The sequence below is a fragment of the Homo sapiens genome, chromosome 12, assembly GCF_000001405.40.
Source record: "Homo sapiens chromosome 12, GRCh38.p14 Primary Assembly".
Classification (NCBI taxonomy): domain Eukaryota; kingdom Metazoa; phylum Chordata; class Mammalia; order Primates; family Hominidae; genus Homo; species Homo sapiens.
In genome coordinates this window covers 22,836,033-22,856,781 of record NC_000012.12, presented here as the reverse complement: position 1 = coordinate 22,856,781, position 20,749 = coordinate 22,836,033, and the positions used below count along the sequence as shown (strand labels likewise).

Here is a 20,749-nt window from a genome sequence, read left to right as displayed (position 1 = left end):
TTTGATGAGCCCTCAGAAAATCCTACAACAATTCTAGTCACCTGTCAATCAGGAAGTAGCTCATAAAGAATTGTGTGGCATTGCTACGGTCTATTACCTGTGATATTCCTTTTGGTTCACTTGAGATTTTTTTAAAAATACATAATGAATGCATTCAATAATTGTTTGAATTGCTGCTGTGCATCTGTCATAAATGGTTTATGGATAACCATCAATTGGTTCTGCTCATCAGTCTAACAAGTTCAATGTACTACTCAGAGCAAAGGATGACTATTTATTTAACAGCTCTTGGCAGGAAAATTTGTTGCATGCCACAACTTTACAAAGAACATTAAAATCAATGACAATTTATAAACCAAAGGCTGGGAATTATGCTTTGGATTCCCATAATTCATCAGAATAAAGCTGTCAGATACCTTTTATTATAAATTAATAGCATGTTGTCTAAGAGCACCATGGCACAGATGTTTTGCCAGTTCAGTACTGACATCTAGTGGACAATAAAAAATATTTCCCCATCTTTTCTTAACTCGATTTTCCTTCTTTCCCAAAAGATGTTTGTTGTTGCTTCATTAGTCAGATTTTTGTCGTGCAAGAAAATATATTTGAGTTGAAGTTTTGTGTATTTGTATTTGAGCCAACAAATATGTCACAGGTTTGAACTTTTACTAATAAACATTGGCAACGTGTGCTTAACGTAATTCAAAAACTACTCAGCTAGCCACACCTTTTTTTAAAAAAAAAAATCTTCTTCTATATTTTAAATATATTAGTACTTGTTATATTTGGGGACTTAATTTTTTCCAAATCTTTACTACTAAATCAACTATACTATATTAAAGTAACAAACTTTTAACTCTAATATTCTCATAAAGAAATAGAAATATAGTTCCAAGATAAGCATTTACTTAGCCTGCATTCGATTAAAATCTAGGATCAATTTACTTTTTGTGAACTTGTATCTTCAATTTGATGCAACTTATGAATAACCAATATAGTGCAAAGAAATGACTTACTTAAATGCATCGTTTGTGATCTTGCTTTCTTAAACAGTACTTTCAGGCTGATCTACACAATAGCATTCCATGGTCATTAACACATTCAAAAGCTGAGAAACATCCTACTGTGCACTGGCAACCTCTCAGGCACATGGTCTTGGCAAGAGTCCCACCCTGGAACATGCTAGGATTTTTTAATGCTCCAAGTAACGGACAAATCTGAGGCTTTCCAAGCTTTCCAGAATATCACCTGATCTGAACTCATGCTGGATATGATTTTCTAGGGAGCTAAGGAGGCTAAGATGTGCATTCTTTTCAGAGTCTTTTGGTATTTAGAGTACCTGAAAGTGAAGCAAGGAGAAATGAAACTAGAGTTTATGATGTACCTGCTCTTGTATCTGGCACTGTGATCGGCACTTTACATGAGAAATTAATAGAGTACAGGTCAGGGATGAAAATTAGCGTTCCAATTTTATACACCTTAAAAGGAACATGAATACACGCTCTAGTGCTGGCATCAAGCTGAAATTTCTAGGAGACAGAATGGTATCTCTTTATAACTTGATTGTTACTAGAAGACAACTGGAGAAACTCACCTAAAATCATAATCTGCACCATTCCACTCTACCAAACTATAAAATGGTGAGAATGGTATTTGAAACCACCTTGCAAATTTTGTGAAATTCTATATACTCTATTTTAGGCTACTTTGAAAGCCGTGCATTACAATTATTTCAGAAGACCTATGTGATTATTATGAAGGTGAATAAACAGAACATAATATCCTCCCATGATAAAGAGAAAGCAACTCTTTATAGTTCTTTATATGAAAGGGGGGTGAACCTGCTCAAAGCATAAACCCACAATTTTTATACAATAATATGAAAAGAACTGTTTCAAAGTTTTCATGGTTTTCTCATGTAACAAACTCTACAATCCTAGTCCCTACCTCCAAATTATTATTGGAACATCTTTCTCAATAAGCTTTTCCAAGTCATTAAAATAAAGACAATGCATGAATAAGGACAACTGAATAGCATTTCATCAACTAACATGGCTTCTCAATGGGTAGTTTTTTACATTACTAAAAGACAAATTAGGCTGCCTTCTGCTATCATAAATAACCAGTTCTTTTAATAAAAGAACTATTATCATACATTAGTCTTTGGCCAACATTTCCTTATTTTTAAAATAATTTTAACTCTCTAGTTATTCCAAATCCTATTTTCATCTTAGCTATTGACCTACTCAAACTATCTCTCAGGAACATTTGAAAGATCCTCATTGATGGAGAAATCCCTAAATGCTTAAGTACACCTGCCACAGTCAGACCTGGAGGCTAGAATATGAAAGCACTGGACCATGTATCAAATACAGGTCGAGAAGCTCAGGGTGGATTTTTTAAGTGAAGAAGAAAAAGCTTAAGTTGAACTAAAGAAGAAAGAAAGAGAAGAAAGAAGAAAGAAAGAAAGAAAAAGGAAGGAAGGAGAGAAAGAAAGAGGGAGGAAGGAAGGAAGGAGAAAGAAAGAATGAAAGAAAGAAACAAAGAAAGAAAGAAAGAGGGAGGGAGAGAGGAAGGAAGGAAGGAAGGAAGAAAGAAAGAAAGAAAGAAAAGAAAGAAAGAAAGAAAGAAAGAAAGAAAGAAAGAAAGAAAGAAAGAAAGAAGAAAGAAAACAAACCACTTATTTGGAAAGCATAACAATAAAAAGGGACCTATAGGTCTTGAAGGAAAGATCATGAGCAAGAGACTCAAAGCTGAACCCTAATCCCAGGACAAGTCACTCACTGTCCTTTTCTATACCCGCTGCTGTTCAGGCAAGTCAGGACCAAAAACATAGCAGGAAAACCGTAGACCCGCATGGGCACCTCCTCCTGATCCACACAGGATAAAGTTCTTAGTCATAACAAGTTTTGTTAAAGCCTTCTCCCCATTCCTATTATTTTAGGTTGTGATTGAAGTAGATAGAATCATCATGCATTAGATCTGGAAGGGACCTCAAAGAACACTAGTCTAACCTCAATCGCAGACAAAAAAAAAAAAGCCTCAGAAAGATTAGGGGTGTTGGAGGCCAGTAACATGACAACTGAGTTCCATAATGCTGTGGGGTATGGGGCTACCAGGGTTGAGACCGTAGGAAGCCATCAAGTCCAGAAGGACTCAGGCCAAAGGGATAAGTTAGGGCTAGGAATAAAGACTGGACGATAGCCACAGGGAAGTGTGACGACAGACAGGGAAGGCCTGTCCCAGAAGTATGTGGTCAGGCAGAGGTGAGATCCCTGAATAAGGAAAGCATCCAGGAGCAAGGACTCATCCAGGCACCAAATTCCAGACCAGACTTTATTTCAGAATTCAAATAGCATGTGAGAAGTCAAGGTAGGCAGCACAAAAATAAGGACAGCAGAGCAAGGCAGATGGATAAGAACCCAGAGATCCACAAAAGGAAAAAATACATTCAAGCACACAATCAAAGCAAGACTTAGCCCCACTTCCTGCTACCTGAAAAGCACTTCAGAAAACAAAGGTAACTCCGACCCAGGCTGAGAGATTTTATAAAGTTCTATGGAAATAGGATTCAATCCCAGCCCAGCTGAATTGGCAGGTGTGGGTGGTAATTGGAGGACCTGGACAAGGCGATGAGTACAGTACATAGGTATTAAATGACTAGAATGTCAGGAGGGCAGATGCTAACAGAGCCCAGCTTAGTCTAATATACTATAAGTATTGGAAACCTCAAATTAATAAGGTGTGCAATTTATACATACACACAAGTTTGTGTTTGCACACACATGCGAAAACTACAACTTGATAATCTGGGAACATTTCATGTTCAGTTCTTCTTATTTCCTCTCCCTTCAACTTTCAGTCATTTTATTGCTTGTTAATAGTCTTTCCACCACCAATCCCCAGTGCACTTTAAAATTATTTTCCTGGGTAAAATCACATCTTCTATTTATTTTTCAACTTTGTTTATAAAAATGTCTAATTTAAGGTGTCATTTGCTGAAGAGCCAGGGTACATATTTATTTAATAAATGTTTATGCTTTTTTGAGTCTGTCTTAGTACTCTGTGTCCAACGGGGGACTCCAGAAAAGCACGTGTGGTGCATTCAAATCAGTCTGTGATCCAGCTGAGAATTTTGAATCTAAAGATTGAAATTTTACCTGACCACATCAGACACCATCTTTTTACTGAATATTAAAAAATTGAGTAAACTTCTAATTAAATGGGTTAGTTTAAATGATGAAAAACAAAATTAAACTTGTAGGGATTTTTAACTGAATGATTTCAGGTTAATTAGTGATTAGCAGCAGAAAGGAAACTGTGTGGTTTATTAAAAAATGTATTTAATCAATGATTTATAGTTAATTAACTTCACTTAAATCTCTCCTTCAATCTGTCACAAATATTTCTATCTTTGAATTTCTTAATAAAAAGACAAACTATTATTTGGAGAAATGGGTGGAGGTGGGGAGACAATTGAGAACTCCAATAGCTTTCTATGTATTCTTTTTGATATTTTATCTGCAAAGTTTTCATAGTTACACAAGAACCACATGTTGATGTTGTGTGATAATCCCAAGCAGAGATATCAATTACTGTAACTGATGAAATAACTAAATATCAACAGTAAAAGGACCTCCAAGATGGCAAAAAAGAACATCACAAAGGGGGGAAAATGAGTTGCTGGCCAATATGTAAACAAGAATTTGATTCTGTTTATTTCTTCCTTCCTTCAGATATGTTGAAGAATTTCTTTGTACCTTATACCTGTCATGGTCCAATTTAATATCTTTCTGCTTTTTAGAAGGTGTTTTATGTAATCCATTGGAATATTTCCAGGAGAAGAGTGAGAGGGAGACAAAAGAAAAGTGGGGAGAAAGACAGAAGAGAATGAAAGAGAGAAAGACACAGAGAGAGAGAGAGACAGAGAGAGAAAGAAGAGAAAAAGATGGGGAAAGAAAGAGAGAGAGAGAGAGAAAGAAAAAAGGAAGGAAGGGACAAGAAAGAAAAGGAGAGAGAGAGAGGGAGGGAAGGAAGGAGGGAGGGAAGGAAGGGAGGAAGGAAGGAGAGGAAGAAAGAAAGAATGAGAAAGAGAGAGATAGGAAGGAAGGAAGGGAGGAAGGAAGGAGAGGAAGAAAGAAAGAATGAGAAAGAAAGAAAGAGAGATAGGAAGGAAGGAAGAAAGGAAGGAAGGAAGGAAATGATTCACAGGAACATAAGGCTTAATATATAACAATGCCCTTGGCAAAAGTTTTGCAACGCTCCACTCCTGGCTTAACTTCTGTTTATTTTTGTAATAGTAAATGTTATCAAAGTAGCGATCCTTGAGAAAGAAGACCTATATTTTGCTCCAACGTCAGTATGTCAAAGACAGAACAGTACAAATTTCCCTGAAGTCTTGTGTTTATTTTCATCCCTGACTTGATCTTTTTTCAGAGACTACAAAGCCAATCAAAAGAATTTCTGAAACTCAATAACAAAAGGCTTATCATTTTACAAATTGTCAAGGCCTCTCCTGTGGCACACCACAGCAGAGGTGTTGCTCAGGCACATTTTCACAAACTGTGAAATAAAGGAAAATTATTGGGAAGATGAGAATTTGAGCCCCGTATCTGGTTGTCACGTGTTGCATCAACCCAAAGAATCTGCCAATGATAGAAACAGGACACAGAGAAACTCTAGGCAGACAGGGGCAGGTCCCTGGCAAAATCCCACCTTCAAGCTGAAAAGCCTGAAACCCAGTGGCCCAAAGTGAGAACTTCCATCCGTGTGTGCCCGCTCTCTCTCCTGATTGGTTCTTTCTGAATAGTGTCTTTACCAATCAAATGTTGCCTTTTCCAAAACTACCTGTGGCCCACCCCTGCCCACTATCCTGTGCCTATAAAGACCCCAGACTCAGCCAGTAGAGAGGAGAAGCACCTGGACATCAGGGAGAAGTGACCTGACTTCAGAGATGATGGCTGGACATCAGAATGAGGCAACTTGACTTTGGAAGAGAGGGAGACAGGTGGCTTGACTTCAGGAGAGAGCAATCTGCCATTCCCATCCCCTTTCCAACTCCCTTCTCTGCTGAAAGCCACTTTGATCACTCAATAAAGTTCTCCACATTCAGCATCTTTCAATTCATCTGCATGACCTCATTCCTTTTGGGCACCAGGCAAGAACTCAGGATGCACCAAGTATGGGTACCCAAAAAGGCTGTCTCACTGGCCCTTTGCCCTTGCTGGTGGAGGGCAACTGCCCCATGTGAGGAGGCAAAGAGCCCACTAAGCTGATAACACTCTGCTGTCTGTGGACAGTGGAGCTAAGAGAGCATTGTAACACACCCTCTGGAGCCTTGGGGTCATAAGCACCCCCAACCGGGACACTGCCACAGGGGCTGCATGGAGTTTGCTCCTGCTGGCACTAAAGCAGCCGGCCGGTTCCTGCACTTGCTCACTCTGGTTCCCACACTCATTCGTTCACACGCTGCCTCCTGCAAGGGGTTGAACAGGGTGGGCTGAGTAAACAGGCCACCCCTGTCGCGAATCTCACAACGGGGTCAAAAAAATATCCTGCATTACCAAGTCTCCTTCTGTTTTTAGGACAGAGAGAGCATCTCCCACTTCACTTGGCACTCAGTTATTACTACAGACCCTCACACAAGTAGCAACTCAAAATGAATAAGCTTCCTCAGACTCTTGGGTTGCTTAAGAAGTGTCCTAACCTTTGCCCTTCACTCTATGAAATCTAAATGTGAAAATCTCCAGGCTATCCTTACATCTCACCTCTAAAATGTACCCACCGTCAGCAGTGTGCTGTGTTGATGCCTGTGTTTCTGGGTTAGTTTGTGTGATTTGCATGTACTTAACCTGGAGATGCCTGTCTACCTCAGCATTGCCCAGGGTCATCTCAGAGAGCAGGAACTGGATCTTTATTCAGATATAGCTTGTTTTTTTTTTTTAAATCTAGCATGTAAAATTTCCAACCAAGATAAATCTGTTCACCAGAAGACGTCTTGGAGATCATTTTGTTTTAATTCCTAATTTTACAGATTCATTCATTCATTCATCTAACAAATACTTATTAATCCCAGAATTTCCCAAAGATTTTAATGATTTAGTCAGAGAAACTAAACATGTTGCTCTGTGTAGCACAGAAATTTAAAGGGTGAAATTTTCCTAAATTATCATCCTGTTATTTAATTTCAATGTTGAGAAGTCATTATTGGTATTTCCAGATGTATCAAAGTAAATGTTGGATATGTTCATTTTTAGTTCCCCAATCTCAGTCACTAAGAAGCCTCCCTCCATTCTTTCTCCTTTTTTTCTAAGCTCATCAGAGTCCCTATTCCTAATCTTTTTTATTTAGTGGCAAAATAAATATGGAATCAATCATATAAACCAAGAGCAGCAAACTTTTACCTAAAGGGCCAGAAATTTTTGGCTTGCAGACAACATAATCTTCATCTCAACTCCTCAACTCTGACATTGAACTGGAAAGCAGCCATAGACAATAAGTTAATTAAGAGGTTATGATTGTGTTCCAATAAAACTTTACTTACAAAACTGGTTGAGGATCAGACTTAGTCCATGGATTGTACTTCACTGGCTCCTGATACAGACTATTACCTAGGAGTGATTACCAGCTAACTCACCATCTTTACCAGAAGATGAATTGCCTTTCCCCCTATTGTAATTCCCATCTCTTGATGAAATCTCTTAGGACAGTGCTCTTCAATAGAAATTTCTGCTGAGATAGAAATATTCTATATCTCTCCTGTCCAATATAATCACCACTAGCCCACGTGGCTACTGGACACTTGAAATGTGGCTAGTGTGATTGAAAAATGTTGATAAATTTTAAATTTTATTAACTTTTTATTAAGTGGCCGCATGTGGTCAATGGCTACCATGCTGAACAGTGCACCCTTAAGGAGTAATTAAGTCCATCAGGCACTATATTAGACAGATCCAAAATACTGGGAGGTTTACTGTCCCCTCAAATCACAATGTATAAGTAGGTATACGTATGACCAGCCTTGGGAATTTCAAATGCATTCTTCTTTTTACAAAATAACTCTTCTAGATAAGTTTCCCAGTATAAAAGTCTGATTCCATTTATTTTTATTTATAAACAATCTTTTGGGAGTCCATCAGTTGGATTAAATATGCAACATTTTTATTTGTTTTTATATAGCCTTGTATTAAATTTGAGTTAATAAAAAATTGTACCTACAATTTTAAGAGTTGAGGATATATCTTGCAGTGTGCCCACTACCTGTCTGAAAATACAGACACAAAAACAAATCAGTATACTACAATGTCATAAGTTCCCTAGTAAAGTATGCATTTCATTAATAGGAACACAGAATAACTAAACTTCTTGAGGATGGCTGAATCCGAGAAGACTAAAAAGAGGAGGAGGTATTTGAGTTGGGTGTTGACCAGGAATAGGGAGGAAAAGCATTTCAGGAGAAGGGAATAGCATTAGCAAAGTCACGTAAGTGGGTAGTGACTTCCAGTTTGGGGGAATGATGAGTAATCTGGTATGACCAGAACACAGGGAGGCAGGGCAGCAATGTCCAGAGATAAATTCAGAAAAATAGGTTAAATTCAAATTGAAAAGGTCATTGTATGTGTGGAAAATCTCTTGCAGGCACTAAGGAATCATCATAGGTTTTAGAACTCAGGGAATGGGGGTGACAGTTAAGATCTTTGTTGTAACTCTGGCTGCTGTGTGGAAGACAGTTTGGAAAGACTACATGTAGAAAGAATGTGCAAATAAAAGCTTTGTATTAATTTTTAATGCTGAAGATAAAAAAGATTAAGAAGATCATACATCACTGGATTAATGGCCATGAATGTTACTCCAAAACTTGTTAAAGCATTTATCAGGGGTCAAAGCTGTAGGTCATCAGACTAAATTTCATCCATAGATGTGTACTGTTTGTTTTACAACTTTCTTTTAATATTTTGATTTGGCTGCCAATATTTATATGTAAGAGGATTTTACATGAAAATCCAGATTTCTCTTTAGAGTGTGCATTTCCTTTGAAAAATCAAAAGATTGGATTACACTGGGCCTGCATTCTGTCCTGGCAACAATCAGCTGTTGCTGGGTAGCACCCATTGCACTCCTGACAGAGCAGCAACCCTTGCTTTCCTTGGTTCCCACTACTTCCTATTATTTGACTTCTAGTCAGTTTCACTCATTTGTGACAACTGACTGTCCCTGAAGGCATTTGAGTTTTTTACCCCAATTCCAGACAGCAGGTCTAAAATTTCATTCAGTTTTATAAACATCCTCTATAAATAGTATCTTCAACAATGCCCACTATATTTTTATTCTAACAACAATGGGACTTTAAAATGTTGCTTTCTTGAAAATATTCAACATTTTCAACCTTTTTGTTAACTTAGGCATACCCATTCTTCTTGAATAGCTTCATCTCAAAAATTTAGAAGAAAGAAACAATAAAATGAAGAACCAGCAAATCTCTATTAGACCTGAGCCTTAAGCAGTTCTGTTGTTTCTTCTGTTGGAGCCTGTGCAGTCAGCATGTCTTAGGCCAACTTGTTTTCCCAAGATGATTTGTCCTACATATCTATGTGTGCCATCTTCCCTGTGCTAGCCAGAAAGGCCTCTAACTATTTTAAACATCTGGTCAACTCATCGTTTTGAGATAACACCTCTAGTTGGAAATTAGAGGTTTTTATCTGCTTGTCATCAATAAGGATGTGAATAATTAGCAACATTGGTGTAGGTTAAATTGGAGTTAATTTTAACCTAGAGAAATTGTATTACACCAAGCCCTTGACTGTGTAGATGCTGTAGATTTGTCAGCCTGCTACATGCCAAATAATATGTTCATATATGACAGTCAATGGCTGGTGACATTTTCTTCTTGGTTTGTAAAACTGTGAGTGTTCCTGTGGGTTTTTTGTCCTATTACTATTATACAAAATATTGGGTGAGTGAAATGTGTTTCTTCTGTGTTTGTATAAAGCCTCTAGGACCTTACACAGAGCAATATAAAACCACACTTGCTTTATAGGAAGTGTATATTCATCTTAATTTTCATAAAGTGGGAAGGAGATGAAACTGTAAAACCATGAATAATTTTCATTGTGATTATATGACCACAGGGACAAGATGGCAAGGATGGTTTATGAGGAACCATTTTCTCCTGTCTTTTACTAAGTGTTTAGAATTCCCCACTCTTCTAGTATTAAGTGGTGGGGGTGGGGGTTGGGGGGTTGGGAGGACAGGGAGCACGGGGTATAAATTGTCTTATTGTATGGATTCCTTGCCTGGAATCACAAGAGATCACAACAGTTAAATGCTAGACCTTACCCTTAGGCCAAATTTTGGGAGAGATGAGTCTCTCCAGCCCCTCAGTTCTATCAATACCTTCACAATGCACTTAAGAAAACCCCACAGAGCTGTTGAGTCCAGGAGGCCTGGTGTTAAGAGAGCTGCCTCCACTCTAGGCTCACAACTGTGATTCTCTGTGGCTCTCTCTGAGCTGCTGAGACTCAGCAGACCTTAGGAAGAAGTTCATCTTTCTAGCTGGTGGTAAAAATTACCCCTTCGTCAGATTGACTAGCTAAGCTAGGACACCCAGTCATATGCTAAGGCTAAAATTCTTGCCAAGGCAAGTAGCCAAAGAGGAAAAAAAAAATGTCAGGACGCTAAAAGGTCAGGGCTGCATCCTTGAGCCATAAGCCTAATCCCACAGGCCTAATTCTACCTAGGAGCCTTAGAATTTTCTAGGGTAACTGTCACATCTACATTGCCAAAGGCACATGCCTTCCATGTGTGATAAGTTCTTTTTCACTCCGAAGTGGGGAAAAAACAGCCAGGCACAAGGGCTAATACCTGTAGTCCCAGGTACTTAGAAGGGTGAGGCAGAAGGATCACTTGAGCCAAGGAGTTCAAATCTAGCTTGGGAAAAACAGTGAGATCCCACCTTGAAAAGAAAGAAGAAGAAGAAAGAAGAAGAAAAGAAGAAGAGGAAGAGGAAGTGGAAGAAGGAGGAGAAGAAGAGGAGGAGGAGGAGGAAGAGGAAGAGGGAGAAGGAGAAGAAGAAGAAGAAGGCGGCAGTGGCAAAAGAGGAAGAGGAAGAAAAAGAAAGAGGAGGAGGAGGAAGAGGAGAGGAAGGAGGAGGAGGAGGAGAAGGAAAGAAAGAAGGAAGGAAGGAAGGAAGGGAGATCCTGAAGAAGAAGAGGAAGAGGAAAGAAGGAAGAAGGAAGGAGAAAGAAGAAGATCCTCCCACTGTCCACAATATCTATGCTTAAGAATCTTAGCGTTGCCTAAGCAACTTCACTGTCTCTGTTCACAGGGAGCCCACAGAAGACATTGCTTTGGGGCTATTTTCATGAATCAGGACAATTTCATGTCCCATTTTGACTCGAGAGACATTTGAGTATAGGTACTTTACATTGGCCATGTTGAAGTAGATCATAAAAAAGTACCTAAACATAGTAGCTCTTGATCCTGTTCAATATACATCACTTCCTCTGCCCCCAACCCATCTATTATGGAAGACTTTTACTTTGTTCATTTCAGTGTTATATGGGTTTTAGGAGCGCATACAGTTTAAACTCCCTTAGACAATGTCCACTCAGCAAACTTGCCAAATGAATGAATATTCTCCATACCCTTTCTAAACCTTCCTGGCTGATGCCCATAGCATCCAAATGCTTAGATCAGCAGGCTTTCCACATGCTTACCAAAAGTTTACTCCATTTGTCTCCCCACCTGTTAAGCCAATTGTACTTTTCTTAATTATATAAGTTAATAAAATATTTAAATACGAGCATGAAGAGAAAGCGGGCTATTTCTATGAAACTAAGTTGAATATTTGGAAAGACTTCATAAAGCCAAGTTGAAAAAAATTAGCTAAATTAGGTGAAATGAGATCATAAAAATTTAGAAGGTTTCCATATTTGTTCATGAAAAATTTCAATTTCTTCCTCCACTTTAAATGCAATGAAACTGCATTTTGGAATTATGAATATCCTTTAGGAAAGAAACACCAAACAGAACTCCAATCAGCAAATTCACACTCAATGAAAAGCCTTGCTTTTGTATGAAAAGATTAATGAATGAATGTACATTTGTGTATTTTAAGTTAAAAAGTTTACGATATGCATGTTATCACTTTTATGATCCTGGCTTTCACCACATTTTTCAATTTATCAACCAACCTCAAGTCTCAGCTACACTAGATAAGAGGACTTCTAATATATTATATTCATAATAATTTTATTTTAAATAAAGGTTTTAAAAGTTCTTTATAACTATGTTAGCCTTTCAGAGGATATCAATCCCCTTACCCATAATCATCCTTGTGAAAGAGTTTCATTATATTAAATATAACATACATTACTAGGAGTGCTAAAAAAAAAAAGTGTTGAAAACTTGAGAGACTTTCTTGGGTTATTAGGAAGTAAGAAAAAATAATCACACAATGGCTCCAAAATTATATCTTCAACATCCTAAACTTTCAAAGGTTAATCTGAGAATTTGAAGTATAGATCATTCAAGATACAAGTTAATTCTCTTAAACTAACAGGCATTTGGCTTATAGGGATGGCTGGCCCTTCCTGAAATGCACTTCACGTGCATTTTAAATGCCTCGCGATGCTGAGGACTTGGCCTATTTACCACCACATTCCTTGTCCTTCACTCTCATCATATTCTCACCCCACACTTCAGACAGAGACTCAAGAAAAAGGTTGTCTCCTTATATGTTACTCTGTAACTTTTTTTTCTTATCATTTTAACCATTTGTAAGTATACAATTCAGCATTATTCACAATATTGTATAACCAGTACCATCTAGTTCCAGAATTGTCATCCCAAACAGAAACACTGTACCCACTAAAAATAACTCCCCCTCTTTCCATTTCCCCCAGCTCCTGGTAACCACCATTCAACTTTTTGTCTCTGTGAATGTTCCTATTCTAAGTATATTCATGGACTCATACAATATTTATCCTTTTATGTCTGCCTTATTTCACTTAGCATAATGTTTTCAAGGTTCACCCATGTTGTAACACATGCTAGGACATCATTCCTTTTTATGGCTGAATAATATTCCATTGTATGTATATGCCACATTTTGTTTATCCATTCATCTATTGATGGATTCTTGGGTTGTTGTTTTGTCACATTTTAAGAGTTGAAAGTTTTTTAGTTTGTTGTATTTGGGGGCAAAGTCAAATTGTCATCAAAACGTTTATACTAAAAAAAAAAGAAAAAATCCCAGGTAGGAGTGGCTGAGTCAAAGCAGCCAGAGCCAGAGCCACAGACACAGACCCGATGATGCACAGTGTGTTATGAGCTGCGTTGCTGTCCTCCAAGTTTATATGCTGAACTCATAACCCCCAGTACCTCAGAATGTAACTATATTTGGATATAGTGTTTTTAAATAGATGATTAAGTTAAACTGAGGTCATTAGGGTGAGCCCTAACCTAATATGACTAGTTTCCTTATAAGAAGAGGAGATTATGGCACAGAGAAGGACAGAGAGAAGACCATGTGAGGACACAGTGAAAAGTGGACCATTTACAAGGCAAGAGGAGAGACCTCACCTCAGAAGAAACCAATCCCACCAACACCTTGAACTCAGACTTCCAGCATCCAGAATTGTGAGAAAATAAATTTCTATTATTTAAGCCACCCAGTCTGTGATAAATTGTGGCAGCTCTAGCAAATTAATGCACCATGTCTCCCAAATTTGACCAGTATGACTCTGCACCACCAAGACCTTGAAGGCTATTGGCAGTGAAATGTTGTTTCTCCATGAGGCCTTTCCAGATCCCTTCCATCAAGAAGACTTTTTTCTCTTCCTTCATTCTGCAGTACCAGACACACATAAGGATCTCTGAGCTCAGCGAGTTTACATTCTAGACAAGGATAGCAAATGAGTGGTGGAGATAGATGAAAAACAATAAGCACAATAGCCAAGTATATTATATTACATGTTAGAAGATGATGAGTGTCATGGGAAAATTAGAAGAGAATAAGGGGGAGTGTTAATGTGGAATGCAGAACAATCACAATTTTAAACAGACAAGCCAGGGTAAGTTTGAGAAAATGGCATTGGAGAAAAAACATCAAAGAGATGAGGAAGTGATCAGTGAAGATATTTGGAAGACTAGAAATCCAGGTAGAAAGAGCAGCCAATGGAAACGCCCTGAAAGCAGAGCATGCCATAAAATATTCGAGGAACTGGAGGAAGCTTGGTGGCTTGAACAGCATGAGCCATTAGAATAGCAGAAAGAGGCTGGGCATGGTGGCTCCTGACTGTAAGCCCAGTACCTTTGAAGGCCTAGGTGGGAGGATTGCTTGAGGGCAGGAGTTCAAGAGTTCCAGCTACTCAGGAGGCTGAGGTGGGAGGACTGCTTGAGTCCCGGAGTTGGAGACTATAGTGAGCTATGATGGTGGCACTGCACTCCATCCTGGATAATAGTGACAGGGAGAGACCTTGTCTCTTAAAAAAAAAAAAAAAAAAAAGGAAAGAAGAAGGAGAAGGAGGAGGAGGAGGAAGAGGAGGAGGAGGAGGTGGAGAAGGAGAAGGAGGAGGAGGGAAAAAGAGAAGGAGGAGGAGGGAAAAAGAGAAGGAGGAGGAGGGAAAAAGAGAAGGAGGAGGAGGGAAAAAGAGAAGGAGGAGGAGAAGAAAGGAGAAGGAGGAGAAAACAAAGAGGAAACAGGACTGTGTAGAGCATTTTAAGGACTTTGGCTTTTATTGTGAGTAAAATGGGAAGCTATTGCAAGGTTTTGCGCACGAGTGACATGATCTGATGAAGAGTTTTACATGGATCACCCTAGATGCTACGTTGTAAGGTGGATGGGCAAGAAAATAAATGAGGAGATCAGCTGAAAGGCTACTACAATAATCTAGGCAAGAAATTTTGGTGGCCAGGCGCAGTGGCTCACGCCTGTAATCCCAGAACTTTGGGAGGCCAAGGCAGGTGGATCACCTGAGGTCAGGAGTTCAAGACCAGCCTAGCCAACATGGTGAAATGCTGTCTCTACTAAAAATACAAAAATTAGCCAGGTGTAGTGGTGCATGCCTGTAATCCCAGCTACTCAGGAGGCTGGAGCAAGAGAATCGCTTGAACCCAGGAGGCAGAGGTTGCAGTGGCCCAAGATTGTGCCACAGCACTCCAGCCTGGGTGACAGAGCAAGACTCTGCCTCAAAAAGAAAGAAATGTTGGTGTTAGGGTGGTGTACAAGGGCAGTAGCAGCAATGGTGAAAAGAGGTGCAATTCTATATATAACTTGAAGGGAGACCCAATAGAATTTAATGATTTGATGTAGAATGTAAGAAAATCGAGAGTAGTCAAGAATGACTCCAAGGTTTTGGACTGAGTATATCCAAGGACTGAGGTGGCCATTACTTGGGTTAGGCAAGAGTGCAGGTGGTACAGGTTTAGAAGGTGTGGCATGGGAGTGGAGGTATTAGGAGTTCAATTGTACAAGTTAAAATGTCTATTAAAAACCCAAGTGGAAATGTTAAATAGGCCATTGGATACAGTGATCTTGATTTCAGGAGAGGGAATAGAAGAATTAATATGTCAGTCTTTAGCTTAAGATAATATTTAAAGTCATGGGACCAGAGGAAACCACCAAGTAAATGGGTCCAGACAGAGAATGGAAAACCTCCAAGGGCTAATCCCTTAGGTACTCCAATTTTGAGACACTGCCTTTGCCCTTTCCTCTGGCTTGATCCCAGTTATAATTATCTCTAATAAATTGTACATTTACCACAATCTGTCTTACATGAATACTTGTCTATACTATACCTTCCCTACTAGATTATAAACTCTCAGAGTTCAGAGACATCTAAATATCTTCTTGTGCTTAGAATAGCAACATTACATAGAATAGGTGTCAAATGAATATTTGCTGAATTTAGCTTTTATTTCTTTTTCTCTCCCTCTCACAACACACACATATACTTGTGTACACACACACAGACACACACACACACACACGAGGCTGCAACACTCCCTGACTATGCAACTTTGGACAGCTTATTTAACCATTTTATTCTATTTTCTTCTTTTGTTCAACACATGTTATGAAGATTAAATGAGACACTAAATATGAATACATGGTAGCTAGTCAGTAAAATATAACCACCTTCTCCTATTTCAGCTCCTATTTGGAGCTGACTTTAATTTCATTAATACATATTTTTTAAAAAATCTATGGGCAAAAAAAGGGAAGAAATCAGCAAATAAGCAGTGTTTTCCAAGGTGTGGCCATCTCTTTCAAAAGCTCCTGGTCAAATGTTTTGGAAACACTGAACACCATATTGGCCTCAATAAAATTCATAGTGCTTGTTAGGATAAAACCTCCCAGTCATTAGAGAAGAAATTGTTCATCCCAGGATATTTCAAACCATTCAGGCATATAATATCTATTAACATTCTGAGAACATTTTGACCAGAGTAGCCTTAAGGAATCGTCTAGGCTTGATGATCCTCATGTACATAAAGCAAGTTGTTCCTCAGTATCTGTGGAGGATTGGTGGTGGGACTCCTCCTCCCCTCATGGTTACCAAAATCCATGATGCTTAAGTCCCTAATATAAAATGGCATAATATTTACATATAAGTTACACACATTGTTCCACATACTTTAAATCATCCCGAGATTACTTACAAAATTGAATACAATGTAAATGCTATGTAAACACATACTATACAGTATTGTTTAGGGAATAATGACAAAAAAAATCTGTACATGTTCAGCACAGACACAATCATCCTTTTTTAAAATATTTTCTATCCACAGTTGGTTAAATCCACATATGTGGAACCCAAGGATATGGAGAGCCAACTCCTTTTTTTTTTTTGAGATGGAGTTTCACTCTTGTTGCCCAGGCTGGAGTGCAATGGCGCGACAAAGAGCCAACTCTTATCTCTTCCTGTGTCTTCTCCTATTTCTGTTAGGGATGGTGTCAAAGATGACATGGGGTGGGGATGCCACCAAGTGATGACTCAAAGATGATGCTTCCTAGGTTATCTGGGGTGGTCCTGATTTTATAATCTGAACCTTGATCAGATTTTTTGTGAGACCATAAGTTTCAAAAACATGGTCATTGTAGCACATATATCTCAATCAATGAAGCAGGTGCAAAATACACCTAATCTGAAAAGACTTTATGAGTAAATGGTAGCAATCTTTGCAGCTACTGACCGTTGTTTCTGGTTTTGATTGTTGCATGCATACTTAACTTCCTTTCTCTAAGCTTTATTTGTCTTCAGCTAGAAAACAGGACTTCAGAGTCCTATTTAATTCCTTTATACCTTTTACTCTCTGAATAGATTCTCTAAGAAGGTCTAATATTCTCAAGGTTATACAAACACATAAACTTTGGAGTATTTTATTTAAAAGCACACTATTTCTGTTAGCACAGTATATATATATTTTTTGAGACAGAGTCTTCACTCTGTCGCCCAGGCTGGAGTGCAGTGGCATGATCTTGGCTCACTGCAAGCTCCGCCTCCTGGGTTCATGCCATTCTCCTGCCTCAGCCTCCCGAGTATCTAGGACTACAGGTGCCCGCCACCACGCCCGGCTAATTTTTTGTATTTTTTAGTAGAGACGGGGTTTCACCGTGTTAGCCAGGATGGTCTCGATCTCCTGACCTTTTGATCCGCCCACCTCAGCCTCCCAAAGTGCTGGGATTACAGGCATGAGCCACCACACCCAGCCAGCATAGTATTTTCTATAGCTGAATAAGTGGGAAGTTTTCTGCAGTAAAAACCACAACAATCTTTCCACAATCCATTAGTTAAAAAGCTAGCTCTTTCCTGATTACAATGAGCTATGATCGCACCACTGCACTTCAGCCTGGGCAACAGAACAAGACCCTGTCTCAATAAATAAATAAATAAACAAGAGATTTAAAAAAACAAAGTTATCCTCATCTCTTCCCATTTAGAGAAGACGAGACTTAGCAGAGAAGAATGGTAGAAGGTCAACAGAACAGTTTGCTAAATCCCAGAAAAAACAGTTGTAAAAAGATAGGTACTTTTTTGTGGGTGATAGGGTATCTCTGAAATAGAGGGCAAGATGAGGAACACTACTGAAATTTTTAAATTAAAATAATAACAGAAAATCTGAGAGCTATAAGGTACTTTACAGATAAGCTCACTCCATCTCCTCACTTTGTAATGAGCATAAGTTGAGGACAATGAGGTAAGTGTAAAATGTCCAAAGACAACTAGTTATAGGTTAGGCACGGTGGCTCATGCCTATAATCCCAGCACTCTGGGAAGCCAAAGTGGGTGAATCATTTTAGGTCAGAAGTTCGAGATCAGCTTGAGCAATGTGGTGAAACCCCATCTCTACCAAAAAACACACAAAATTAACCAGGCACGGTGGCGCATGCCTGTAGTCCCAGCTACTCGGGAGGCTGTGGCAGGAGAACTGCTTGAACCCGGGAGGTGGAGGTTTCAGTGAGTTCACATGGTGCCACTGCACTCCAGCCTGGGTGATAGAGTGAGACCCTGTCTCCAAAAAAAAAAAATTTTTTAAGACATCTAGTTAGAAATATTCTGGATTATCTTTTGTCAACCCAATGTCATCTTTTCATCAACCCAGGCTATCTACCAATGCAGGGCTATCTTTTCTAGTATAAGTCAGTACAGAAAGATAATTTGCCACTCTGGTTTAAAGGTAATTTTTAAGAGTGTGTGTGTGTGTGTGTGTGTGTGTGTGTGTGTGTGTGTGTGTGTGTACACATTAGACCCGTTAAAGCATGAGTATATCTGGGAAGAACAATGTATTTTTAAAGGCATTATTTGACATTAAGGCAGTATATACATTTATCTTGATTATTAAGAGTGGACTTGGGTATATTAGGTATATCACCTTCTTGATTAATTTGAACTGGACATGGCCTAAATACCTAAAAATCTAAATAATTCAGGGAGATATCTAGGAATATTTCCACTGTTAAGGACAGAGACTGATTGGAATAACACCACTTCAACATGAGGAGTACTCTGCCCAAAGGAAGGGGCTAGAGACTTGGTTCAGTTGTGAATCGGTCTTTTCTGTTCTATAAACTATAAAAACAAACACACGAAAGGAAAGGATTTGGATTTAGATAAAAGAATTTATAACACTAAACTCCCCATGGCACAGTAGCATAAAAGTTAAGACCAAGAGTTGGAATTAGACCAGCGTGGATTTGAATCTTGATTCTGATACCTAACTGAAACCTTAGAAAATCTACTGACTGGCTCTAAACTTCACTTACCTCCACTGCGGAACAGGGATTATAATCTCTACTTTTAAGGGTCCTTTTGAGAATTAAGACAATGAATACAAAGTGCTAATCACAAGACCAGGCAGATAACAAGTACTTAGTAAGTGGGAGCTATATGACTAGCAAGGGGCTTGTATCAGTCAGGGCCCACTGCACAAGCCACGAGTACATATAATCTCCTACTGGTTGTTTCTCCAGTGGACTCTGATGTGTATGTGTGTGTATAAAAGATTTATTGCAAGGAATTAGCTATGTGATTTGTAGGAGCTGGCTAGGCAAGTCAGAAATCCACAGCGTTGGTCATCAAGAAAGGCAGGCTAGAAACTTCCAGGCTGAACCAGATAGTGTACTCCATAGGCAGAATATCTTTTTCCTCAGGGAAACCGCAGTTCTATTTTTTTTTTTTTTTTTTTTTTTTTTTTGAGACAGAGTCTTACTCTGTCTCAAAAGCTGGAGTGCAGTGGTGCAATCTCTGCTCACTGCAACCTTCACCTCCCAGGTTCAAGCGATTCTCCTGCCTCAGCCTCCCGAGTAGCTGGGATTACAGGCACCCACCACGATGCCTGGCTAATTTTTTTGTATTTTTAGTAGAGACGGGGTTTCTCCATGTTGGCCAGGCTGGTCTTGAACTCCTGACCTCAGGTGATCCGCCCGCCTCAGCTTCCCAAAGTGCTGGGATTACAGGCATGAGCCACCACTCCCGGCCTCTCAGTTCTATTTTTAAAGCCTTTTATCTAATTAGCTCAGGCCACCCAAATTATCTAAGATAATCTTTACATAAAGCCAACTGATTACGGACTTTAATCACATCCACAAAATACCCTCACTGAAACTCTTAGATTAACATTTGATTGAATAAAACTGAATATTATCACCCAGCCATGTTGACACATAAAACTGAGCATCACAAGGTTAAATGAAAATGAACAATCCACTGATATTAAAAACTGTAAGTTATCTATTCCAGAACGTTATTTATGTGACATTTACTGAACCCTACTGAAGAACAGGCACTGTGGCAGCTAAAGGTTACAAAAATGAATCACCCTCCTCCGAATAAGCACAGTTTAGTTGGAGAGACAAATATATAAACTCTCCTAATAAACTATGGCAAGCTCGGCATGATGGTGCATTCCTGTAGTCACAGCTACTCAGGAGGCTGAATTGGGAGGATTACTTGAGCCTAGGAGTTCCAGGTTGCGAGCTATGATCACACCACTGCACTCCAGCCTGGGTGACAGAATGAGACCTCACCTCAAAAAAATTGTTTTTAATTAGTACATTTTTATGTTTATAACCAATTTGTTTCTTGTTTTGTAAATTGCCTATCCTATCTTTGTTTATAAGGTTGAGTGCATACACCTATCAGCTGATTGTTAAAGCAGGATCTTTGATAATATTTACTTATTTAAAAGTTGCATTAACGTATCTCAATCAATAGCTAACATCTCATTAAACACACTTAAGAAA

The 20,749-nt window shown here is 38.9% G+C and overlaps 1 long non-coding RNA gene across 13 annotated transcripts in view, besides 1 other annotated feature; it reads right to left on the bottom strand.

Moving 5' to 3' along the window:
- LINC02955 (long intergenic non-protein coding RNA 2955) overlaps positions 1–20,749 on the bottom strand; it is a 491,729-nt gene that overhangs the window by 334,806 nt on the left and 136,174 nt on the right. The window lies entirely within an intron of this gene.
- Positions 9,561–9,761: a silencer, noted in NCBI's record as "peak1603 fragment used in MPRA reporter construct". NCBI's record gives its function as "represses an SCP1 promoter by STARR-seq MPRAs in K562 erythroleukemia cells {active_cell/tissue: K562}" and the evidence as "EXISTENCE:reporter gene assay evidence [ECO:0000049][PMID:32103011]".